Below are 18,798 nucleotides of genomic sequence, written 5' to 3'. Positions count from 1 at the left end.
TGGAGACAGTGAGGTGGAAGAGGGGGCCAGAGACTGATGGAGGAGCCCACGGATGTGCAGCTGGCCTGGATCTGCCGTGTGCAAGTGTACAGCACAGACAGAAGTCCGTACCGTCTCAGTGGCCTGGGGCAAGTTGCTAAGACTTTCAGAGCCTCAGCTTCTTCATCTGTGCAGAGGAGGGATAGTCCTGACGGGCAACTAAGGTTGTAAGTAAGTGAATTCCGCATGTGACGAGCCTCACTCACTGTGTGGCTACAGTGTGTGTACAATACATGTGGGTTCTCTCTTCACCCCGATTCCTCAATGCCTTCCTCCTCTTCCCTGCTCCTCCATCCTGTTCGTGCCCCTTCCCTGGACCCCACCCATCACCTGAGCTGTGACCTCAGGGCACCCTGCTGGTCTTGGCACACTCATTAGACTTCACCACAAGAGCCAGATGGGGAGGAGGCAGGACAGTCCGCAGATGGGAAAGCCTCCTAATTCCTGGCCTTGGTCTTCCCAGGGCTGCCAGACAATCCGGGTTTAGCAACACTGTTGCATGCCCACTCACCAGCCTCATAGCTTGATTAGATAAAGCTCACCTGGTAGATGAAACCCTGGCAAAATGATTTATCAGGGATGTTTTAAAGATGGGGATATAAAATAGGCACAGATTTATTACTTCAAAATTACTAAGATTCTAAGAAACACGTGTTCTGCACGTGCACGAGGCCAGCAAAGCAAGAGGACTGAGCCCTCAGCATCAGGGTCAGCAGCAGCTGGTACAGGAATTCTGCCCCCAGAATGGGCATGACCTTGGGAAAGCCATCTCTCTTCCATTTGCCATTGGTGAAATGAGATAGCGATGCCGATCTCACCAGGTGGCTCTCGGGATTCTAGGGAATGATGTTTACGGAAGCCCCATTCGACGGCCGCTGGCTGCTCAACCCAGAGGTGCCCTGTTCAGTTCCTCCCCAAGCTGCCCTCCCAGAGGCACGGCCGTGCTTGTTACCATGGTGACTGCTGGGTTAACAAGGACTGGAATCGCCAGATTTAACAAATAAAAATTCAGCACACCCAGCTAAATTTAAATTTCATATACACATGATTTTTTAGTATGTGTCCCAGATATTGCATGCCTCATAATGTCGTTTAGTATTGCGTGGGACATACTTATGCTAAAAAATAAAGTGTAATTTATCTGAAATTCAAATGTAATGGGGTACCTTGTATTTTACCTGGTCATCTTAATAGGGACAGAATATTACGTTGTTGGAAACACTGGGAAGTTTCACTTGAAACAAGTGATGTAAGGAGAGGATCTCAGAATTATCTGGTGACCTAATTTATCACAAGTCTGATAGAAAAATGTGCAATTTATACATAATCCTTAATAATTAAAAGCTGCTCTACTGAAAAAGTTGGTTTTCTACTAGAAGAGAGACAAAATTAAATATCCTAAGGCGTCCTAGGCTGAGATATGGAAGCAATCAATGTCCCATGTAAAGACAATGTTTTTTAAAAAACAGTGCCGGGATAGAGTCCCTTCCACATTTCTGCCTGTAAAAATTATTTTGGTAATTGTGTATATTTTAGCATCTTAATTTATCCATTTCAAAATTAGAAAGTACATATATAGCATTTTATTATATATTTGTACATATTAAAACTGCATTTTAATGTATACGTATTTCTCTGCTCTGTGGGTAATGAATTTGGATAATGAAAATCAGCTGAATTACATTTCAATAAGGGAAAGGTGAGAGAAGACATTAATTAGATGAAAATTTAGAGCAGGTATTTATCTTATGTAGATTTTACAATTTGCTTTAAATATTCCTAAACAAGTTAGTAATTTTATAATGGTGCTTTTAAAATAAAAAAAGTTGGGCCGGGCACGGTGGCTCACGCCTGTAAGCCCAGCACTTTGGGAGGCTGAGTTGGGCAGATCACTTGAGATCAGGAGTTTGAGACCAGGCTGGCCAACATGGTGAAACCCTGTCTCTACTAAACATACAAAAAAAATTAGCTGGGTGTGGTGGTGGACACCTGTAATCCCAGCTACTTGGGAGGCTGAGGCAGGAGAATTTGAACGCGAGAGGTAGAGGTTGCGGTGAGCTGAGATTGTGCCACTGCACTCCATCCAGCCTGAGCGAGACAGTGAGACCCTCCCTGTCTCTAAATAAATAAATAAATAAATAAATAAATAAATAAATAAATAAATAAATGGGCTTCAGGACCATACCATCCTTAACTGATTTTTGCTGTGATTTGGATCCTGGTGAATTTTTCCTTAGCTACACAACTGCTGCTGTCACCCATACTGTTGGATTCCAATATTTCTTGAGACCCATGGTTGGGCAAACCCTGCCTTGCATGCTGTGGGCAGCAACAACAACGAAATGAACAAGACAAGACCCTGCTGTTGAGGAAAGCACACTCTATGGTAGAAGAATACTGAACAAGACAAAACGTGCCTGTGAATAGAAGGTGAGAAAGAAAGTATGGAAGGCGGAGCAAGAGGTTCCGGGAAAAAGGTGACCACCAACATCATTGCCACTCACAGTTCTTTTGCAAACCTTAGTCTTCTCTTCTTAGATGTTCACAGCAGTTCTGTGAGTGATTATCATATTATTCCATTTTTACAGATAAAACAAAGTCAGCAAGGTTAAGTAATATGCCGATGTTATTAGTAAATCGTGGAATGGGAATTCAAATTCAGGTCTGACTTCAGAGTCTGAGGCTGTGTCCCTCGTGGGGGATTCAGGCGAGTTGAAGAGAGAGACTACTCCTAAGGGAGGTGAGGGGCAAGTGGGTGGTCTTATTTGAACTGAAACTTGGAAAACAGAAAAGGCTGGACATCCTTTAGAAAGGAATGGTCTTTTGGGCCAAGAGAACAGCTTGAGCAAGAACCCAGAGCTTGGGGTAGGTACAGAGAATTCTAGGTAGTTCCAGGAACAGCGTTGCAGTTGCTCTGGGCTTTAGCTCAGGAAGTGCGGTGGGGAGAAGTGGGGGAAGGAGAGGGTGGCCTGGAGTTGGGGCTTGCTGGGGAGCCTGCAGTCATCTGGTTGATCGTGCGGAGCCAGCAGAGGCGTCTAACAGGAGGAAGTGGCGGCAAGGCATGAGACTGGCATGCGGAGCGGGTGACTTTGGAGGCAGAGAGACTGGGTAGAAGGTCATCAAGAGGTAAGGAGGGCAGTGCTGGAGATGGAAGGGAGGACAGGCGGTGGTGGACATGGAAGATGTGGGCGGACAGAACCAGTGACGGCAGCGAGCCGGTGGACTGCAGGGGCCGTCGGTGGTGTGCACAGGAACACGAGTTGCTCTAAGTTGAAATTCTTGGAAACATACCATGTGGCTGCAAATAGAGGAGCCCTGGGAGACAGCAGGGAGGTGGCAGGGTTTCTCGTGGACTGCCTGTGCCTCGTTCCAGAGTCTGATTCCCAGATTTGTAGGCTAAGAAATGTGATTCATCATCATGTTAGTCAGGCTCTGATTCACTCATCTTAAGCATGAGTGTTCCAGGTTAGCCATCAGGAGACTGAGGCATGGGGGTTGGAGCTGCCCATAGTCAGTCAGCCTCCCAAGAAGTGGGGGGCTGGAAGGTCCAACCTCAGTGGCTTGACTGCTCTGCAGCCCAGAGTAGGCAATGAGACTTTCCTTGTTAATGGGGTGAGGAGAAAATGGAAGATTTCGAGAATTTCTCACTACTCCATGCAGTAAGCAAAGGAGGGGCAGAAAAGGGACTACTTTTACTCTTCGGGAACTTTAGACCTTTTAATCGCTTCAAATATAGTGGCATTGAAATGCAAAGTATTTTCAAATTGCATTGTAATCTTCATCTCTTTCAGAAATTAAAAAAAAGAAAATCCAGGCATGACCGTGATCTATATTTTAGGGATGAACAGTTTTATGCCATTTTTGTCTTTGTCTCTCTTCCGGCTGCTGCTAGAGAAGAGGCAGCGGTGCCCAAGCCAGGACTGAGAGGTTTCGGGTGATGCCTCTGCCGTGATGATCATTGCTTCCTGGACTTATTTTCTGTGGAAGAGGCAACTTGTTTCTTGAACTTTTTAATTAAAATCTATGTAAGAGTAGAGAGAATAGCATAAGGATTCTCCAAAGTCAAAGAATCTAGATTTCACTTTAAATATTTCATCCTACTGGCAGGTATCGAGTTGATTGATGAAAATGTAAAAATTGAATTCCAGACATTGTATGTCATGAAATATCACCCCACATTGTCATGAGATGTGTTTTATAAAGATTCAAGACATCTTGGCCAGGTGTGGTGGCTCAGGCCTGTAGCCCCAGCTACTTGGGAGGCTCAGGCAGGAGAATCACCTGAACGCAGGGGGTCAAGGCTGCAGTGAGCTGAGATTGCACTACTGCACTCCAGCCTGGGTGACGGAGTGAGACCCTGTCTTTGGAAAAAAAAAAAAAAAAAAAAAAGACATCTTAAAAACATAATCAGAATGTCATTATCAAAAGAATATAAATTAATGGCATTCTTAATATAATGTAATACCACCTATATTCAGATTTCTCTAATTGTTTCCAAACTATCTCCCTCTTGTTTTTTTTTTTTTTTTTAAACATTTGGAGTATTTACATAGGGATTTAAATAGGGCCCATACATTGCATTTCGTTTTTATGTCTCTGAAGTTTCTCTTAATTTAGAACAGACCCCCCGCTCCACCCAACCTCTTTTTTCCTTAATTTGTGAAAAGCCCAGCACTGCCTCGTAGAACCTCCTGTGCTCTGGGTGTGTGGGTGCTCATCGTGAGGGCGTTTAACCTACTCCTCCCTCTTGACCTGCCTGTAAACTAGAAGTTATGTATGGGTGCTTGATACTTTGAGTTTGACAGTTTTCCCAGGAATACTACACACACCACAGGTACGGTGTTTAGAGAACAAAATCTAAGGGCTGATGGTATTTATGGCTACCAAGCTCTCATTGCTCCTAGGCTTGATGTAGTCAGATTTCTAGTCTTGCCAAGTGCCCAGATGGGTGGAAACCTGGCAGGTAAACTGTCCCTGATGACTGACTGGGCATGGGCTGTGAGGAGACGTGCCACTAGGTGTAGGAGAGGAACAGAGGTGGACCACAGAGCCTGGGAGGAAGCAGGGACAGAGAGGCCAGAGGATGACAGGTGGGAATGGGGGGTCCGGGGCAGGGCCAGGGGAGGCCAGGGCTACACAGAACATCACGAGAACCTACCACTAAGCCAAGGATGACTGATGTGTTCAAACCCAAATGCCAGACTCCTCCATCACCTGCCCCTCTATCTCCCTCCACACACCTTCCTCTCCCCCATGCTCCCCAACCCAGTTAACAGCAAGTCCTTCCCCAGCTATTCAGGACAAAAACCTTAGCTTCACTCCTGAATTCTCCTCTGTCTCTTACACCACGTTGAACCCAACAGCAAGTTCCACTGGCTCTGCCTGTAGCATATATCATCCTAAATATGATCATTTCTCACCATTTCCACTATGCCCACCGAGCCCACCACCCCTGTTGGGCTGACTGCAGTAGCCTGCTTCAACACCTGCCTTCCACCCGTAACCTGCTGCACTTCTTTCTCCACACAGCAGCCAAAGTCATGCTCTGAAATGTGTCCCCAGTTCCAGGCACTGGATGTACACCAGTGGGCAAAACCAATCCCTTTGTGGCACAGGTTCTAGTAGACTGTATTTCAGGTGGATCAAGTCATACATCACGCTAAACTTCCAGTGACTTCCTGTCTCACCAAGAGTAAGAGCCAGACCCCTTTCAGAGGCCCCTTGGCACCCTCTCCTTCCCTTCGTCCTTGCCCACTGAGCTCCACCCTCCTGGGCCTCCTTGCTGTCCTTGAATATGGAAGCCCTCCCTGCTTCCCCATGTCCCCAGAGAGCCACGAGGCTGGCTCCCCTCTCTCTCAGGTCTCTTCTCATATACGCGTCATCTGAGAGGCCTTCTGGGCCCCCCAGAAGGATCAGCCTCCCTCCCCTCCCCTCCCCTCCCCTCTTCTCCCATCTCCTCTCCTCTCCTCTCCTCCCCTCTCCTCTCCTCCCCTCTCCTCCCCTCCCCTCTCCTCCCCTCCCCTCTCCTCCCCTCACCTCCCCTCCCTTCCCTTCCCTTAGAGCTTCTCTCTGTCGCCCAGGCTGGAGTGTAGTGGCATGATCTCAGCTCACTGCAGCCTCCACCTCCTGGGTTCAAGCGATTCTGCTGCCCCAGCCTCCTGAGTAGCTGGGATTACAGGCATGCGCCACCATGCCCAGCTAATTTTTGTATTTTTATTAGAGACAGGTTTTCACTATGTTGGCCAGGCTGGTCTCAAACTCCTGGCCTTAAGTGCTCCGCCCACCTGGGACTCCCAAAGTGCTGGGATTACAGTTGTGAGCCTCTGCACCTGGACTCTCACACAGCACTTTCTATAGTTATGTGACTGTCTGTGTGTTTATTGCTTGGCCACTAGGATTGTTTTGCTCCCTGCCACATCCAAGCTCCTGTGCAGCCCTGGGTGTCAGCAGGCTCCACATCAGCACGTGGTGGATAAGAAAAGGGACTGGTCCAGGCCTGGGTCATCAGAAACACTTGGTGTTGTGGCTTCATGGTCTTGGACTGCTCTATGGGAAGGGAGTTTAAAATCTCAATGTCAGGGCACTGGAGTGGCAATGGTGGTGGGGGCAGGAGGAAACTCTAGGCCCTTCCTCATCCTCTTCTCCCATTGAGGTGCATTGAGGGTGGGAAGTGCCAGGCCTCTCCCTGCCTCTTGTTATCCTCACTCAAGCCAGTGGTATGCCTCGGCGTTTCCTCTTCTGAAAGCTCCACCTGTGAGCTTTTTTCCACCATGGGGTGGGAAGCTGTGTTCACTCCTGAGGTTGTCCACTCCGCGTCCATGTGCTGTAATCTCCAGATGTCAGGACTCTCTCCCAAAAGCAGTGCCCAGTGTCCCTCTCCTGGGTTTTAGAGGCTATGTCATGGGCAGGGAGCAGCAGTGCCCGCCTCTCAGGCCTTATTGTACCAGCCGCTGGCTGCCCACCCTCTTTGGAAGGCTCCAGGAGCCAGGCCATGCCAAGCTGGATGTAGTGCCTGTGGCAGCAGCCCTTTACCCATGAGCTCCAGAGAGCACTCCAGGCTGAGCTGGTTCCTTCACTCCCTGCCAGGGACACATGCAGCATGGAAATGGGCACCTCAAGGGGCTGGGGTGAGGGGATAGGGTGAGAGGCTGGGTTGCAGGGCTGGGGTGAGGGCATAGGGTGAGAGGCTGGGATGCAGTGCTGGGGTGAGGGGATAGGGTGACACTGGGATGCAGGGCTGGGGTGAGGGGATAGGGTGAGAGGCTGGGATGCAGGGCTGGGGTGAGGGCATAGGGTGAGAGGCTGGGATGCAGGGCTGGGGTGAGGGGATAGGATGAGAGGCTGGGATGCAGGGCTGGGGTGAGGGGATAGGGTGAGAGGCTGGGATGAGGTGCTGGGATGAGGGTATAGGGTGAGAGGCTGGGATGAGGTGCGGGGATGAGGGGATAGGGTGAGAGGCTGGGATGCAGGGCTGGGGTGAGGGGATAGGGTAAGAGGCTGGGACGAGGTGCTGGGGCGAGGGGCTGGGCTGTGCTGAGCACTGGTGTCATCAAGAATCTGCTTTGCCCTGCTGCCTGTTCAGAGCAGACTGGTCGGGGTCAAAGATGGGTTGTGGTGCTACTCAAATGTTTTCATCATTTCCCCTCTAAGGAACCTTTTCAGACACTTTTTCCCTAATCATCTCCCATGATGCTTTATACTGCAGAGGGACTATCATTCATGTGCTGTGGACGTATCTGTGCTTTACACATAAAAGAGTAAGATTTTTGTCCACCCCACGCCCCCTCCAAGAACCAATTTTTGTCCCCTTGGGGGCAAAATCACCCCCTAATATAATCCTGATGGCTTTCAAGAGCTTGGCCTTCTTGGACCCTCGGCTTCTAGCCTGAGCGCCATCTGATGGTGCGGACGTGTGAGTGGGAAGAGCAGATGCTTGGGAGATTCTGGGATGGGGCAGGCACAGCTGGGCTCCCAGTTTGGTGTCACAGAAAGTGCTGAAATCTGGTTGCAGAGATTGCAGTGAGCCATGATCGTGCCACTGCACTCCAGCCTGGGCAACAGAGCGAGACTGTCTCACAAAAATTAAAAGTAAAAATAAAATACCAGCACATGCCCACAGGAGCCAAGCTCACTTAGTGTTGGGCAGTTAGGAAGCGCCCCCCGCCCCCTGCTACCCCCACCGTGTCTGCATGGCCTAATACCCAGGGGAGGTTTCCTGGAAGTATGGGTGTGAACTGAGCCTGGAGGGATGGGGAAGCTTAGAAGAGGGGACAGAGTGGGGACAAGGGAGGAAGTGTAAGTGTGGTACAGCTTGGAGCTAGCTGCTTAGTGCACAAAGGGACTGCTTGGCACCACAACAGAACCTGCAGGCGATGGGAGCAGCAGGCAGCCCGCCTCCCTCAGCAATCCCAGACTGTGTTGAGTACCAGGACACAAGAGACGCATTGGGCTGCTGAATACTGTTCCCCTTCACAGCGTTGCTGGGGCCCACTTAACACCTGCAGCAAGAACTCTTGGGCTAGAGCTGGGAGGCACCTTTCTGTTTATTCCGTGCTAGTAGTTTCACTTTGTGCTTTTATTAATTTTTATTAATAAAAACCAGACCCTCTCACAGAGCTGATGCCCAGTTCCTCAGGGTGATGACTGGAGAGGGTGCCATCATTTCCCTCCTCCATCTTTACAGATAGGACAGCAGAGGCCTTTCTTCCTTAACTCCACTTTGTTTTTGTCTATCTACTTCTTTTTCCTATTAGTAATCTCTTAAGCTGAACAGCACAATGGCAAATATAATAAAACCAAATCTGTTTTGGCTTTATTTATCAGGCACAGAGAGGGTCTGGTGGGCACCCTGTAACTTGACGACTGACCTCCAGGTGAGGGTGTTGTGAGTGTGAAGGCACCGTCCTGTCTCCCAAGCCTCCTTATGATGCCAGGAGAGAGACCCGGCCCTCCAGCACCGCTACAGGGAAGAATGACACCACATTCAGGCACCAGAAACTTAGTAGCTTCGCTTTTGCATTTTGGATGCTTCTGAGGATGAGGGCTTTAATTTTTAACCTAAATTATTATCAGTTAAAAGCTAAATGATAAAAGGTTATTATAAATGTATAATTATACATATTTGTTATATTTCATAGCAATCACCTATGTAATTATATAATTGTTAAAGTTGGTTAGAGCTAATGATCATAAGGCCATTTCCCCACGTAACATGGTGCCCATATCTGCAGCTGTGGGAGGTTCTGACTGTTGGCGTGTGCTTGAACAGTGAACTGTGTACTCCTCAAGGCTCCCATCAGCAGTGTTTGGATTGTGAGGTCTTTCCTACAGGGTCCTTGCCTCCCCTGTTTTAGTAGAAATTCTCCATGGCACTTCTGGGATGGGCTGCAGAGAGGAGCTGGGCCCACCCACTGGAGCGAGGAAGGAGCAGGAGCCTTGGGGAATGGTGGGGAAGGGGAGCCTAAGACCCCTCTCTACCTGCGTCAGGGAAGAGCTTGCCTGGAGGCTTGAAATATTGTTGGGGTCTCCAGGGAGGATAGGCATCCCTGGGATCCTGACCAGAATGCAGCCAGGTCTTGTGACTGACTACTTAGAGAGGAGTAGGAGCTGAGAATAAGGAGGTCTTTGGGGATAGCAGATTCAGGGCTGCCTAGAAGTGGATTCAGGGCATGCTTCTTAATTTCTTTCCTGTCTTTCTCTGATTTTAAATTGTTTATTTTGTTTTGGAGTCAAATAGCCACATGTAACTTTTGACTCCCTAAAACTTAACTACTAATAGCCTACAGTTGACTGGAAGCCTTACCAATAACAAACAGTTGATTAACATGTATTTTGTATATGTGTTATATCTGGTATTCTTCTAAAGTAAGCTAGAGAAAAGAAAACATGATTAAGCAAATCATCAAAAAGAGAAAATGTATGTACTATTCATAAGTGGAAGTGGATCATCATAGAGGTCTTCATCCTTGTTGTCTTCATGTTGGGTAGGCTGAGGAGGCCAGGAAGAGGGGTTGGTCTTGCTGTCTCAGGGGTGGCAGAGGCGGAAGAAAATCTGTATATAAGTGGACCAATGAAGTCTGAGCCCATGTTGTTCAAAGGTCAAATGTAGTAGAAATCAGGAGAAGAAAAATGTACTGGCTGGTGCAGGGTGCATATTCAGTGCTTTAAATATTTTAGCATCTGCTCTTCACACCAAACCTTTGAGTTGGGCATTTTATCTTTATGTCGTAGGTAAGGAACTGACCACAGCGCTGCCTGAGGTCAAGGTGTGATTGTATATTCTGATCTTCCTTTTATTTCCCTTCTCTAGCCCCCCGCACTGCAATCATGTTTTATATAATCATGGCTTTTAGTGTCTTCAGCAACCTTAGAGAGTGGTGCTGGGCCCTTGTGTCTGGATTCAGCTCCCAGCCACACACGTCCTAACTCTGGGGGCATGGGCCACAACCCACGCATGTTGGAAACGAACTCAGTAAACTTTAGTTGCCATCTTTTTCCTATTAGTAACCTCTTTATGGCCCCCTGAGTTTTGTTCTTCAGTCAGCCCCTGAATAGCAGGCAATGGTTAAATAGCAGGCAATGGTTAAATGACAGGCAATGGTTGAATAGCAGGCAATGGTTAAATAGCAAGCAATGGTTTGGGGCTTTGCAGAGGTCACCTACTGCGTTCTGCACCCTCTCCGGTCATCACCCTGAGGAACTGGGCACCAGCTCTGTGAGATTTCCAGGTGGGGTTTGTAGAACAGGCAGCAGCAACTGGTCAAAGCCAGATGTGGCTGCAAGAGCAGAATCCGAATGTGACTGCTTTGTAGAGAGATGGCATTCACTGAGCCCTCAGAGAGCAGCACAGTCAAAACAACATCTGCAAAATTGGGCAAACTGAAATTTTAAAAATATGACAAAAGTGATCAACCATGGCAAGATGGCCGAATAGGAACAGCTCCAGTCTACAGCTCCCAGTGTGAGTGATGCGGAAGATGGGTGATTTCTGCACTTCCAACTGAGGTACCAGGTTCATCTCACTGGGGCTTGTCGGACAGTGGGTGCAGCCCACGCGAGTGTGAGCTGAAGCAGGGTGGGGCATCGCCTCACCCGGGAAGTGCAGGGGTCCGGGAATTCCCTTTCCTAGCCAAGGGAAGCGGTGACAGACGGCACCTGGAAAATTGGTTCACTCCCACCCTAATACTGCGCTTTTCCAACGGTCTTAGCAAATGGCACACCAGGAGATTATATCCCGTGTCTGGCTCAGAGGGTCCGACGCCCACGGAGCCTTGCTCATTGCTAGCACAGAAGTCTGATCGAACTGCAAGGCGGCAGCGAGGTTCGGGGAGGGGCATCCGCCATTGCTGAGGCTTGAGTAGGTAAACAAAGTGGCTGGGAAGCTTGAATTGGGTGGAGCCCACCGCAGCTCAAGGAGGCCTGCATGCCTCTGTAGACTCCACCTCTGGGGGCAGGGCAGCAGAAACTTCTGCAGACTTAAAGGTCCCTGTCTGACAGCTTTGAAGAGAGTAGTGGTTCTCCCAGCACAGAATTTGAGATCTGAGAATGGACAGACTGCCTCCTCAAGTGGGTCCCTGACCCCCGAGTAGCCTAACTGGGAGACACCTCCCAGTAGGGGCCATTTGACACCACATACAGTCAGGTGCCCCTCTGAGACGAAGCTTTCAGAGGAAGGATCAGGCAGCAACATTTGCTGTTCTGTAATATTTGCTGTTCTGCAGCCTCCACTGGTGATACCCAGATAAACAGGACTGGAGTGGACTTCCAGCAAACTCCAACAGACCTGCAGCTGAGGGTTCCGACTGTTAGAAGGAAAACTAACAAACGGAAAGGACATCCACACTAAAACTCCATCTGTACGTCACCATCATCAAAGACCAAAGGTAGATAAAACCACAAAGATGGGGAGAAACCAGAGCAGAAAAGCTGAAAATTCTAAAAATCAGAGTGCCTCTTCTACTCCAAAGGAATGCAGCTCCTCGCAGCAATGGAAGAAAGCTGGACGGAGAATGACTTTGACATGTTGAGAAAAGAAGGCTTCAGACGATCAGTAATAACAAACTTCTCCGAGCTAAAGGAGGATGTTTGAACCAATCGCAAAGAAGCTAAAAACCTTGAAAAAAAAGATTAGATGAATGGCTAACTAGAATAAACAGCGTAGAGAAGACCTTAAATGACCTGATGGAGCTGAAAACCATGGCTTGAGAACTACGTGACACATGCACAAGTTTCAGTGGCCGATTCGATCAAGTGGAAGAAACGATATCAGTGATTGAAGATCAAATTAATGAAATGAAGCGAGAAGAGAAGTTTAGAGAAAGAAGAGTAAAAAGAAACAAACAAAGCCTCCAAGAAATATGGGACTATGTGAAAAGACCAAATCTACGTCTGATTGATGTACCTGAAAGTGACGGGGAGAATGGAACCACGTTGGAAAACACTCTACAGGATATTATCCAGGATAACTTCCCCAACCTATCAAGGCAGGCCAACATTCAAATTCAGGAAATACAGAGAACGCCACAAAGATACTCCTCGAGAAGAGCAACTCTAAGACACATAATTGTCAGATTCACCAAAGTTGAAATGAAGGAAAAAATGTTAAGGGCAGTCAGAGAGAAAGATCAATTTACCCACAAAAGGAAGCCCATCAGACTAACAGCAGATCTCTCGGCAGAAGCTCTACACGCCAGAAGAGAGTGGGGGCCAATATTGAACATTCTTAAAGAAAAGAATTTTCAACCCAGAATTTCATATCCAGCCAAACTAAGCTTCATAAGTAAAGGAGAAATAAAATCCTTTACAGACAAGCAAATGCTGAGAGATTTTGTCACCACCAGGCCTGCCTTACAAAGAGCTCCTGAAGGAAGCACTAAACATGGAATGGAACAACCGGTACCAGCCACTACAAAAACATGCCAAATTGTAAAGACCATCGATCCTAGGAAGAAACTGCATCAATTAACGAGCAAAATAACCAGCTAACATCATAATGACAGGATCAAATTCACACATAACAATATTAACCTTAAATGTAAATGGGCTAAATGCTCCAATTAAAAGACACAGACTGGCAAATTGGATAAAGAGTCAAGACCCATCAGTGTGCTGTATTCAGGAGACCCATCTCATGTACAGAGACACACATAGGCTCAAAATAAAGGGATGGAGGAAGATCTACCAAGCAAGTGGAAAACAAATAAAAAAAGCAGGGGTTGCAAATCCTAGTCTCTGATAAAACAGACTTTAAACCAACAAAGATCAAAAGAGACAAAGAAGGCCATTACATAATGGTGAAGGGATCAATTCAACAAGAAGAGCTATCTACCCTAAACATATATGCACCCAATACAGGAGCACCCAGATTCATAAAGCAAGTCCTTAGAGACCTACAAAGAGACTTAGACTCCCACACAATAATAATGGGAGACTTTAACACCCCACTGTCAACATTAGACAGATCAATGAGACAGAAAGTTAACAAGGATATCCAGGAATTGAACTCAGCTCTGCACCAAGTGGACCTAATAGACATCTGTAGAACTCTCCACCCAAATCAACAGAATATACATTCTTCTCAGCACCACATTGCACTTATTCCAAAACTGACCACATAGTTGGAAGTAAAGCACTCCTCAGCAAATGTAAAAGAACAGAAGTTATAACAAACTGTCTCTCAGACCACAGTGCAATCAAACTAGAACTCAGGATTAAGAAACTCACTCAAAACCACTCAACTACATGGAAACTGAACAACTGGCTCCTGAATGACTACTGGGTACATAACAAAATGAAGGTGGGAATAAAGATGTTCTTTGAAACCAATGAGAACAAAGACATAACATACCAGAATCTCTGGGACACATTTAAAGCAGTGCATAGAGGGAAATTTATAGCACTAAATGCCCACAAGAGAAAGCAGGAAAGATCTAAAATTGACACCCTAACATCACAATTAAAAGAACTAGAGAAGCAAGAGCAAACACATTCAAAAACTAGCAGAAGACAAGAAATAACTAAGATCACAGCATAACTGAAGGAGATAGAGACACAAAAAACCCTTAAAAAAATCAATGAATCCAGGAGCTGGTTTTTTGAAAAGATCAACAAAATTGATAGACCACTAAGAAGACTAAGAGAGAAGAATCAAATAGACGCAATAAAAAATGATAAAGGGGATATCACCACTGATCCCACGGAAATACAAACTACTATCAGAGCATACTATAAACACCTCTATGCAAATAAACTAGAAAATCTAGAAGAAATGGATGAATTCCTGGACACATACACCTTCCCAAGACTACACCAGGAAGAAGTTGAATCCCTGAATAGACCAATAACAAGTTCTGAAATTGAGGCAATAATTAATAGCCTACCAACCAAAAAAAGTCCAGGACCAGATGGATTCACAGCCGAATTCTACCAGAGGTACAAAGAGGAGCTGGTACCATTCCTTCTGAAACTATTCCAATCAATAGAAAAAAAGAGAATCCTCCCTAACTCATTTTATGAGGCCAGCATCATCCTGATACCAAAGCCTGGCAGAGACACAACAAAAAAAGAGAATTTTAGACCAATATCCCTGATGAACATCGATGCAAAAATTCTCCATAAAATACTGGCAAACCGAATCCAGCAGCACATCAAAAAGCTTATCCACCACGATCAAGTTGGCTTCATCCCTGGGATACAAGGCTGGTTCAACATATGCAAATCAATAAACATAAATCCATCATATAAACAGAACCAAAGACAAAAACCACACGATCATCTCAAGAGATGCAGAAAAGGCCTTTGACAAAATTCAACAGCGCTTCATGCTAAAAACTCTCAATAAACTAGGTATTGATGGGACGTATCTCAAAATCATAAGAGCTATTTATGGCAGACCCACAGTCAATATCATACTGAATGGGCAAAAACTGGAAGCATTCCCTTTGAAAACTGGCACAAGACAGGGATGCCCTCTCTCACCACTCCTATTCAACATAGTGTTGGAAGTTCTGGCCAGGGCAATCAGGCAGGAGAAAGAAATAAAGGGTATTCAGTTAGGAAAAGAGGAAGTCAAATTGTCCCTGTTTGCAGATGACATGATTGTATATTTAGAAAACCCCATCATCTCAGCCCAAAATCTCCTTAAGCTGATAAACAACGTCAGCAAAGTCTCAGGATACAAAATCAATGTGTAGAAATCACAAGCATTCCTATACACCAATAACAGACAAACAGAGAGCCAAATCATGAGTGAACTCCCATTCACAATTGCTTCAAAGAGAAAAAAATACCTAGGAATCCAACTTACAAGGGATGTGAAGGCCCTCTTCAAGGAGAACTACAAACCACTGCTCAACGAAATAAAAGAGGACACAAACAAATGGAAGAACATTCCATGCTCATGGATAGGAAGAATAAATATCGTGAAAATGGCCATACTGCCCAAGGTAATTTATAGATTCAATGCCATCCCTATCAAGCTACCAATGACTTTCTTCACAGAATTGGAAAAAACTGCTTTAAAGTTCATATGGAACCAAAAAAGAGCCCGCATAGTCAAGACAATCCTAGGCTGAAAGAACAAAGCTGGAGGCATCACACTACCTGACTTCAAACTGTACTACAAGGCTACAGTAACTAAAACAGCATGGTGCTGGTACCAAAACAGAGATATAGACCAATGGAACAGAACAGAGCCCTCAGAAATAATACCACACATCTACAACCATCTGATCTTTGACAAACCTGACAAAAACAAGCAGTGGGGAAAGGATTCGCTATTTAATAAATGGTGCTGGGAAAACTGGCTAGCCATATGTAGAAAGCTGAAACTGGATCCCTTCCTTACACCTTATACAAAAATTAATTCAAGGTGGATTAAAGACTTAAATGTTAGACCTAAAACCATAAAAACCCTAGAAGAAAACCTAGGCAATACCATTCAGGACATAGACATGGGCAAGGACTTCATGACTAAAACACCAAAAGCAATGGCAACAAAAGCCAAAATTGACAAATGGGATCTGATTAAACTGAAGAGCTTCTGCACAGCAAAAGAAACTGCACAGCAGAGTGAACAGGCAACCTACAGAATGGGAGAAAAATCTTACAATCTACCCATCTGACAAAGGGCTAATATCCAGAATCTACAATGAACTTAAACAGATCTACAAGAAAAAATCAAACAACCCCATCAAAAAGTGGGCGAAGGATATGAACAGACACTTCTCAAAAGAAGACATTTATACAGCCAACAGACACATGAAAAAATGCTCATCATCACTGGCCATCAGAGAAATGCAAATCAAAACCACAATGATATGCCATCTCATGTCAGTTAGAATGGCGATCATTAAAAAGCCAGGAAACAACAGGTGCTGGAGAGGATGTGGAGAAATAGGAACACTTTTACACTGTTGATGGGACTGTAAACTGGTTCAACCATTGTGGAAGACAGTGTGGCGATTCCTCAAGGATCTAGAACTAGAAATAACATTTGACCCAGCCATCCCGTTACTGGGTATATACCCAAAGGATTATAAATCATGCTGCTATAAAGACACATGTACACATATGTTTATTGTGGCACTATTCACAATAGCAAAGACTTGGAACCAACCCAAATGTCCATCAATGATAGACTGGATTAAGAAAATTTGGCACATATACACCATGGAATAGTATGCAGCCATAAAAAAGGATGAGTTCATGTTCTTTGTAGGGATATGGATGAAGCTGGAAACCATCATTCTGAGCAAACTATTGCAAGGACAGAAAACCAAACACTGCATGTTCTCACTCATAGGTGGGAATTGAACAATGAGAACACTTGGACACAGGAAGGGGAACATCACACACTGGGGCCTGTTGTGGGGTGGGGGGAAGGGGGATGGATAGCATTAGGAGATATACCTAATGTAAATGACTAGTTGATGGGTGCAGCACACCAACATGGCACATGTATACATATGTAACAAACCTGCATGTTGTGCACATGTACCCTTGAACTTAAAGTATAATAATAATAATAAATAAAAAATAAAAATATGACAAAAGTTTCAAAAATTGCCATATGATATTGAAGAAGCCCTGACCACATCTCTGTGGGTGGCAGGCTTCCCTTTCTGTCCTGTGGCCTTTCTGTCCAGCTGGCCTTTCCCAGGTGGCCGTCCTGGCTAGGGACAGGCTTCTTTGGTGCCCCTGGCTCTCTGGGATTCCCTGTAGTGTGTGCACCTTGGGATGCCCTCTCCACACTGTGATGAGTCCCACAGTCTGTGTGTACCCCAGGCCTGGATGGGGTGCCCCCTGTGCTCGGCAGGTGTGGTGGGCACTGCCCTGAGTGGACATGTCTGTGGCTGGGGTATTCACTCACCCTAAAGGGCAAGACCCAGAATCTGCAGATCCTGGGATCTCCGCTGACCATGTCCTTCCTCCTTGCACTTCTCGCACTGAGGGTTCCTCTTAGTGCAGGTCATTTACAGCTTCTGGGCTTTTCTCTAGGAGGTCATAAGTCCTTCCCTCTTTCCTCTTCTCCTGTTTTTATTCTGATTTGATGCATTGTTTTCATTCCCAGATATACTATTTTTCAATTAACTACCAAATGGCTCCAATTCTTATGAAGTTAAAGCCTTGGTTGCTTTTTCTGGTTGTTTAATATGTGTTAGTTTGGATGCCTAGACAAGAAGGTAAATATTTCAGGGATGCTATGTTCTGAATGTGTCCCCCAGAGTTCATGTGTTGGAAACTTTTGGTTTTTTGTTTTTTGTTTTTTGTTTTTGAGATGGAGTCTTGCTCTGTCACCCAGGCTGGAGTGCAGTGGTGCGATCTTGGCTCACTGCAAGTGCAGCCTCCTGGGTTCATGCCATTCTCCTGCCTCAGACTCCCGAGTAGCTGGGACTACAGGTGCCTGCCACCACGCCCAGCTAATTTTTTTTTTTTTTTTTGTATTTTTAGTAGAGACAGGGTTTCACTGTGTTAGCCAGGATGGTCTCGATCTCCTGACCTTGTGATCTGCCTGCCTTGGCCTTCCAAAGTGCTGGAATTACAGGCATGAGCCACCATGTGCGGCTGGAAATTTAATTCCCAATGCAACAGTGTTGAGATGTGGGGCCTTTAAGAGGTGATTAGGTCATGAGGGCTTTGCCCTTGTTAATGCCATTATTTCAGGAGTGGGTCAGTGGGTTCCTGCTAAGTGGATGAGTTCAGCCGCTTTCCCTTATTTCTCTCACTTGAGTACATGCTTGCTTGCCCTTCTGCCTTCTGCCTTCCCCTATGGGATGACACAGCAAGAAGGACCTTGCCAGATGCAGCCCTCTTGACTTTGGACTTCCCAGCCTCCAGAACTATAAGAAATAAATCTCTGTTCTTTGTAAATTGCCCAGTCTCAACTATTCTGTTACAGCAGCATAAAATGGACTAAGACAAACAGCAAATACCTTATCTTTGCTTCTCTTAGATTTACCCTCGTAGGGCTCCTGGCATTGTAACGCTAGTTACAGGATTGCAACCTGAAACTCTCAACAGGTGATTTTCCCTTAACTAAACAACAGAAAGCCCTGCTTTCTCACAAGCATCTCTGTTGTGCAGCACCTGCTGATAGCTTCTGGTCGGGATGGATTGCTCAGGTGCCCACTGGTAACTTTCTGAGTTAAATTGGAGGTTCTAAATAATATGTCCTTTGAAAGGAGGTGACACTGCCCTTTCCATGGAGTGAGCGTACAGGGACAGAATCTTGTGGGAAGAGAACGAGATGGAGCAATTCCA

At 46.0% G+C, this 18,798-nt stretch overlaps 1 protein-coding gene across 1 annotated transcript in view, besides 2 other annotated features; it reads left to right on the top strand.

The window, feature by feature from the left end:
* AGPAT4 (1-acylglycerol-3-phosphate O-acyltransferase 4) overlaps positions 1-18,798 on the top strand; it is a 144,095-nt gene that overhangs the window by 84,350 nt on the left and 40,947 nt on the right. The gene's annotated exons all lie outside the window — the stretch shown is intronic.
* Positions 2,810-4,009: an enhancer, noted in NCBI's record as "CDK7 strongly-dependent group 2 enhancer chr6:161606735-161607934 (GRCh37/hg19 assembly coordinates)". NCBI's record gives its function as "activates an origin of replication core promoter dependent on BRD2, BRD4, P300/CBP, MED14 and CDK7 cofactors, with strong dependence on CDK7, by STARR-seq in HCT116 cells {active_cell/tissue: HCT116}" and the evidence as "EXISTENCE:reporter gene assay evidence [ECO:0000049][PMID:35650434]".
* Positions 3,213-3,753: an enhancer, noted in NCBI's record as "H3K27ac-H3K4me1 hESC enhancer chr6:161606991-161607531 (GRCh37/hg19 assembly coordinates)". NCBI's record gives its function as "activates a minimal SCP1, AML or CMV promoter by ChIP-STARR-seq in naive H9 embryonic stem cells {active_cell/tissue: H9 hESC(naive)}" and the evidence as "EXISTENCE:reporter gene assay evidence [ECO:0000049][PMID:30033119]".

Source organism: Homo sapiens, chromosome 6 (assembly GCF_000001405.40).
Source record: "Homo sapiens chromosome 6, GRCh38.p14 Primary Assembly".
Lineage (NCBI taxonomy): Eukaryota > Metazoa > Chordata > Mammalia > Primates > Hominidae > Homo > Homo sapiens.
This window is presented reverse-complemented; position numbering and strand designations above follow the sequence as displayed.